The sequence below is a fragment of the Homo sapiens genome, chromosome 22 (genome assembly GCF_000001405.40).
Source record: "Homo sapiens chromosome 22, GRCh38.p14 Primary Assembly".
NCBI classification, from domain to species: domain Eukaryota; kingdom Metazoa; phylum Chordata; class Mammalia; order Primates; family Hominidae; genus Homo; species Homo sapiens.
The window spans coordinates 21517213-21524333 of record NC_000022.11 but is presented as its reverse complement, the minus strand read 5'-3'; the positions used below and the strand labels follow the sequence as shown (position 1 = coordinate 21524333).

General features: G+C 51.5%; 2 pseudogenes across 1 annotated transcript in view; both read left to right on the top strand.

The window, feature by feature from the left end:
- Positions 1–499: 499 nt before the first annotated feature.
- LOC124905165 (uncharacterized) lies at positions 500–582 on the top strand (annotated as a pseudogene).
- Positions 583–6842: 6260 nt separating this feature from the next.
- PI4KAP2 (phosphatidylinositol 4-kinase alpha pseudogene 2) overlaps positions 6843–7121 on the top strand; it is a 44494-nt pseudogene continuing 44215 nt past the window's right edge. The window contains 1 exon segment of the transcript NR_003700.1: positions 6843–7009. The product of NR_003700.1 is annotated as a phosphatidylinositol 4-kinase alpha pseudogene 2 (transcript).

Below are 7121 nucleotides of genomic sequence, written 5' to 3'. Positions count from 1 at the left end.
TAGAGGTGTGAGCCACTGTGCCCAGCCTAAAAATATTTTTTAATAGCACCACAGTGTAGGCTGGGTGCGGTGGCTCACACCTGTAATCCCAGCATTTAGGGAGGCTGAGGCGGGTGGATCACTTGAGGTCAGGAGTTCAAGACCAGCCTGGCCAACATGGTGAAACCCCGTCTCTACGAAAAATACAAAAATTAGCCAGGCATGGTGGCAGATACCTGTAATCCCAGCTACTTAGGAGGCCGAGGCAGGAGAATTGCTTGAACCCGGGAGGTGGAGGTTGCAGTGAGCAAAGATTGTGCCATTGCACTCTAGCCTGGGTGACAGGAGCAAGACTCCATCTCAAAAAAAAAAAAAAAAAAAAAAAAAAAAAACAAAGAAAAAAGAAAACAAAAAGCACCACACTGTAAATAAACTGAACAACCATGGTTAACGAAGTGTGAATAAATTACAGAAGCTCCATACTCTGGAACATTTGTCAGCTCTTAAAGAATGAATTATGATCCTTTTGTAGTTCATAAGCATGATGATTATGTGTTCACACACGTTCCCATGTAAGATGTGCCACCTTCAAATATTTTTTTTTTTTTTTTTAAGAGGGAGTCTTGCTCCGTCACCCAGGCTGGAGTGCAGTGGCGCGATCTTGGCTCACTGCAAGCTCCGCCTCCCGGGTTCATGCCATTCTCCTGCCTCAGCCTCCTGAGTAGCTGGGACTACAGGCACCCGCCACCACGCCCGGCTAATTTTTTTGTATTTTCAGTAGAGATGGGGTTTCACTGTGTTAGCCAGGATGGTCTCAATCTCCTGAACTCGTGATCCGCCCGCCTTGGCCTCCCAAAGTGCTGCGATTACAGGCGTGAGCCACCGCGCCCGGCCGCCACCTTCAAATCTTGTTACGACATAGGCACATTACCCGTCTGACATGAAAAAAAAAAAAAAGAATGAATTATGGAAATGAACTAGAAAAATGTCTATGATTTCAAAATAGTAGGATCTTTTTTGTAAGGTGAGTAGATACATATTGATGTCAGAGAAGAGAGTTAAACTGTTAATGTTACTTCAGAAAGGACTGATTAGGGTGGAGGAGGAGGGAGAATTTAACTTTAAAAAATTGCTGGGCATGGGCTGGGCACGGTGGCCCACGCCGGTAATCCCAGCACTTTGGGAGGCCGAGGTGGGCAGATCACGAGGTCAATAGATCGAGACAACCCTGGCAACATGGTGAAACCCCATCTCTACTAAAACTACAAAAATTAGCTTGGTGTGGCGGTGCTCACTTGTAATCCCAGCTACTTGGGAGGCCGAGGCAGGAGAATCGCTTGAACCCGGGAGCCGGAGGTTGCAATGAACGGAGATTGCGCCTCTGCACTCCAGCCTGGGTGACAGCGCGAGACTCCATCTGCACAAAAAAAAAAAAAAAAAATTACCGGGCATGGTGTCTCATGCTTGTAATCCCAGCACTTTGGGAGGCTGAGGTGGGAGAATTGCTTGAGTCTGGGAGTTTGAGATCAGCCTGGGAAGCATAGTGAGACCCTGTCTCTACAGAAAATAAAAAATTAGCCGGGTGTGGTGGTGCATGCCTGTAGTCCCAGCTGGGAGAATCACTTGAGCCTAGGAAGTGGAGGCTGCAGTGGGCCATAATCACGCCACTGTGCTCCAGCCTGGGCAACAGAGCTAGACTCTGTCTCAAAAATAAATAATAAAATAAAAATAAAATGTGCTTCAGCATCTCTAGAATTGTTCCGATTAGAAATGTTACTTTCATAAAATAAAAATAACACACACGCTAAAGTATACATGTGTAGAAAAAAAAATTCCCAACTTCCAGAGAGAACCTCCGTAAATATTTTTGATTTATTTTCTTCAGTTGCTTTTCCATATATCAATATTTTTGCATGCATTTAAAAAATGCAATTAAAAAAAAAATTTTTTTTTGAGGCGGAATCTCGCTCTGTCGCCCAGGCTGGAGTGCAGTGGCGTGATCTTGGCTCACTGCAAGCTCCGCCTCCCAGGTTTTCACGCCATTCTCCTGCCTCAGCCTCCTGAGTAGCTGGGACTACAGGCATCTGCCACCAGGCCCGGCTAATTTTTTTGTACAAAAAATACAATTTTTTTTAAGACAGGGTCTAGCTCTGTTGACCAGGCTGGAGTGTGCAGTGGTGTGATTTTGGTTCACTGAAACGTCCACCTCCTGGGTTCAAGTGATCCTCCTGCCTCAGTCCCCCGAGTAGCTGGGACTACAGGGGTGTGCCACCATGCCTGGCTAATATTTTTGTGTGTATTTTTAGTAGAGATGGGGTTTCACCATGTTGGCCAGGCTGGTATCGAACTCCTGACCTCAAGTGATCCTCCTGCCTCAGTCTTCCAAAGTGCTGGGATTACAGGCGTGAGCCACTGCACCTGGCCTCTTCTTTTTTTTTTTTTTTTAATTATTTTTGGCTGGGCGCAGTGGCTCACGCCTGTAATCCCAGCACTTTGGGAGGCCGACGCGGGTAGATCATGAGGTCAAGAGGTCCAGACCAGCCTCTTGTAAAAATACAAAAATTAGCTGGGTGTGGTGGTGGGTGCCTATAATCCCAGCTACTCAGGAGGCTGAGGCAGAGAATTGCTTGAACCTGGGAGGCAGAGGTTGCAGCAAGCTGAGATGATGCCACTGCACTCCAGCCTGGATGACAGAGTGAGACTCTGTCTCAAAAAATAAATAAATAAATAAATAAAAATTTTATTTTTTAATTAAAAATTTACTTATTTATTATTATTATTATTATTATTATTATTAGAGACGGAGTTTCACTCTTGTCACCCAGGCTGGAGTGCAATGGCAGGATCTCAGCTCACTGCAACCTCCGCCTCTGGAGTTCAAGCAATTCTCCTGCCTCAGCCTCCCAAGTAGCTGGGATTACAGGCATACGTCACCATGCCTGGCTAATCTTGTATTTTTAGTAGAGACGGGGTTTTACCATGTTGGCCAGGCTGGTCTCAAACTTCTGACCTTGGGTGATCCACCCGCCTCGGCCTCCCAAAGTGCTGGGATTACAGGAGTGAGCCACCGTGCCCATCCTATTAATTTAATTAATTAATTTATTTATTTATTTTCTGAGACCGAGTCTCACTCTGTCGCCCAGACTGGAGTGCAGTGGTGTGATCTGGGCTCACTGCAACCTCCGCCTCCTGAGTTCAAGCGATTCTCTGCCTCAGCCCCCCGAATAGCTGGGATTACAGGTGCCCGTCACCATGCCTGGCTAATTTTTGTATTTTTAGTAGAGACGGGGTTTCACCATCTTGGCCAGGCTGGTGTTGAACTCCTCACCTCGTGATCCACCTGCCTGGGCCTCCCAAAGTGCTGGGATTACAGGCGTGAGCCACCGCGCCTGGCCTATTTATTTTTTTAAAATGGAGTCCCACTCTGTCGCCCAGGCTGGAGTGCAGCGGCACCACCTCGGCTCACTGCAACCTCTGCCTCCCAGGTTCAAGCAACTCTCGTGCTGCGCCTCAGCCTGCTGAGTGGCTGGGACTACAGGCATGTGACACCATGCTTGGCTAATTTTTTTTTTGAGACGGAGTTTCACTTTTGTTGCCCAGGCTGGAGTGCAATGGTGCGATCTCAGCTCACCGCAATCTCCGCCTCCCGGGTTCAAGCAAGTCTCCTACCTCAGCCTCCCGAGTAGCTGGGATTACAGGCATGCGCAATCACGCCCAGCTAACTTTTCGTATTTTTAGTAGGGACGGGGTTTCACCATAATGGTCAGGCTGGTCTCGAACTCCCGACCTCAGGTGATCTGCCCGCCTCGGCCTCCCAAAGTGTTGGGATTACAGGCATGAGCCACTACTCCTGGCCTAATCTACATTCCATTATGTGGACTATTTAACCCCATTGTGAGAAATTTGTATATGCTTTTTTCTTTTTTTTTTTTTTGATACGGAGTCTTGCTCTGTTGCCCAGGCTGGAGTGCAATGGCAGGATCTCAGCTCACTGCAACCTCCGCCTCTGGAGTTCAAGCAATTCTCCTGCCTCAGCCTCCCAAGTAGCTGGGATTACAGGCATACGCCACCATGCCCAGCTAATTTTGTATTTTCAGTAGAGACGGGGTTTTACCATGTTGGCCAGGCTGGTCTCAAACTCCTGACCTCAGGTGATCCTCCCGCCTCAGCCTCCCAAAGTGCTGGGATTACAGGCGTGAGCCACCGCCTGTATATGCTTTCTTTCACTATTATACATGACACTTAAAAAATATTATCATATATTAGTTATCTTTTTTGTTGTTTTTTGAGACCGAGTCTCCCTCTGTTGCCCAGGCTGGAGTGTCATGGCATGATCTCAGCTCACTGCAACCTCAGCCTCCCAGATTCAAGCAATTCTCCTGTCTCAGCCTCCCGAGTAATTGGGACTACAGGCATGCACCTCGATATCCGGCTAATTTTTGTATTTTTAGTAGAGACGGGGTTTCACCATGTTGGCCAGGGTGGTCTCAAAGTCCTGACCTCAGGCGATCTGCCGGCCTTGGCCTCCCAAAGTGTTGGGATTACAGGCATGAGCCAGCCACATTAGTTTTCAAATGCAGATGAAACAAGGGACCGTGGAATGCCTGTTGTCTCAGGTGTGCTCCTAGGCATGGGTTCCAAACTTACAGGTACAAACTTACTTATGGGTAGAGAGACAGATAATAAGTACGTGGTCTGCAAACGTGGCTAATTTCCCCAGAACAGAATCCTGGAATACTGGTCTGAGAGGGTATAATTATTTTAAAATATTTTTGGGGCCAGGTGCGTTGGCTTATGCCTGTAATCCCAGCACTTTGGAAGGCAGGAGGATCACTTGATCCCAGGAGTTTGAGGCTACACTCCAGCCTGGGCAACAGAGTGAGACTCCGAGTCTCCAAAAAACAAAAAAAGACAAAAGAACCCCAAAAAAACAACTTTTGGCTCATACCGCCAAACTCATGTCCAGGAATTTTGAGGTGATTTATGTGCTTCCAAAAGTATATGAGAGTGATTACCTATCAGACCTTGTGTTTGAAGGTTATCACTTGAAACTGATTTTTAATTTGTTTAGGAGAAAACCCAGCTTCTTATAGTTTTATTTTATTTATTTATTTATTTTTTTGAGACGGAGTCTCGCTGTCGCCCAGGTTGGAGTGCAGTGGCACGATCTCGGCTCACTGCAGGCTCCGCCCCCCGGGGTTCACGCCATTCTCCTGCCTCAGCCTCCCGAGTAGCTGGGACTACAAGCGCCCGCCACCTCGCCTGGCTAATTTTTTGTATTTTTAGTACAGACGGGGTGTCACCGTGTTAGCCAGGATGGTCTCGATCTCCTGACCTCGTGATCCGCCCGCCTTGGCCTCCCAAAGTGCTGGGATTACAGGCGTGAGCCACCGCGCCCGGCCTATAGTTTTAATTTATATGTCTTGGGTTAGTAGAATGGTTGACTTTTTTTTTCAGTCGTTCCTTCAAATAGTGAGTCCTCTGCTAGGCTCTATTTGTGGAATATTCTTGTTCTTCTTCAGGGATGTTTGATAGCTCTTTTTTTTCCACAGATGTTTGATATTTCCTTTTTCATCTATTGTGTTCTTACCATTTCTAGGATGTTTCTAGGCTTTCTATTCTATTTCCTGTTCTGTACCACACTGAAATGCCTGCGGTAGCTTTACAATTTGTTTTGATATCTGTTAGGGCAAGTCTACCCTCATGCCTGCTTTTGTTCCCAAGGGGGGAAAACCATAGCTGTTTTCGGCTATTTATTTTTCCAGGTGAACTTAGAATTTTGTGAAGTCTAAGAAATGTTGTTAGGATGACATTAAACCTATACATCCATTAGGAAAGAAAGGTTGCATCATCAGCTTGGCGAAGGGTTATTGAAACTGGTTTTTGATCTTGACTGGAGCTGGGGCACAACTTCCCTGTAAGGCAGACCTGGGCTCCTCTTGGACTTGGGCGACCTCGATAGTGGTGTGTTCCTTTGTTTGGTGTTCAAAGTAGAGAGAGGTCCATTAACTAGCTCCCTAGAGAAGCAGTGGCGGCTCAGGCCAGCCCAGCCCCTGGGAAGGCTATCTGCATGGCGGCCGGGAGCCCGGGTCCTGGTGGGCCGGCTCGGGCAGGCGCTTGACCCCTGGGGCCTGCGAGGGGCTGCGGCCACCGGAAGGGGCTGGCTGAGCGCAGCGTGCTGGGTCCTCCGCGCCCTCGGAGCAGGTAGGGTTCGCGGGGGTGCGCCCGCGGGGGCCCGAGGGGCGCTGGGGTCACGGGAGGGGCGCCCCTTCTCTTTTGCACCCAACCAGCCCGGGCTTCCCCAGGAGCCCAGACCCCCGAGCTTGCAGTCACTGCTGGCTGCGCCTTTGAGCCTCGGGCAACCGCAGGGAGCGTCGAGCAGGGGTCGCAAAGGGGTCGGGGAGGGGGCGCGTAGGCCGATAGAGGTCCCTAATTCGGGGCTCCTAGGGGTCAGGGTAGGGCTAAAAGGGGGTAAGTCCACCAGAGTTTGAGGGGGTGGGCGTCAGCCTGTCGGGGGGGGCCAGGGTCCCTGTCCCGGGGGCCGGTATGCGGTCCGGGTATTTCAGGGGCGAGGTCGCGGTCCTGCCCTGGCGCTTGAGGTCGGAGTCCGGTTAGATGTCCGGGGTCTGGGTCCCCGGCTCCTCCCGCGCACCCCTCCCCCACGGCGCCGGACCCCGGCAGCCCGCCCCGCCTAGTGCTGGGACCGCTGTCCGGCCCGGCCCCGCCCCCGCAGGCCCCGCCCCTGTTCACAGGCCACGCCCCCAGCTGCTGCCCCCTGTCCCCGCCCCGCCGCTCGCCCATTCAGATGTGGGTCAGGGGTGAGCGGGCGGCGCCGACGTCACAAGCTTCCAAGATGGCGCTGGGCGGGCGGCTGTGAGCGGCGCTCGGGGCGCGCTAGGCGGGGAGCCGAGCCGGGCTGGCGGCAGGCGGACGGGGCGGGCGCGTGCGGCGCGAGCCGGGCGCTGAGGACAAGGGCCGCTGGTAGGGCCGGCCGGCCGGCGGGCGGAGCGCCGCCGCCGACGCACACGAGGTGAGGGGCGGCCTTGTGGGGCGGGGGTCGCGGGGAGCGGGCGGGGGCCGGGGCCGCGGGCTGGGCGCGTCCCCGGGGAGAGGGGCGTGGACGCGCGCGCGCCCGGGCGACG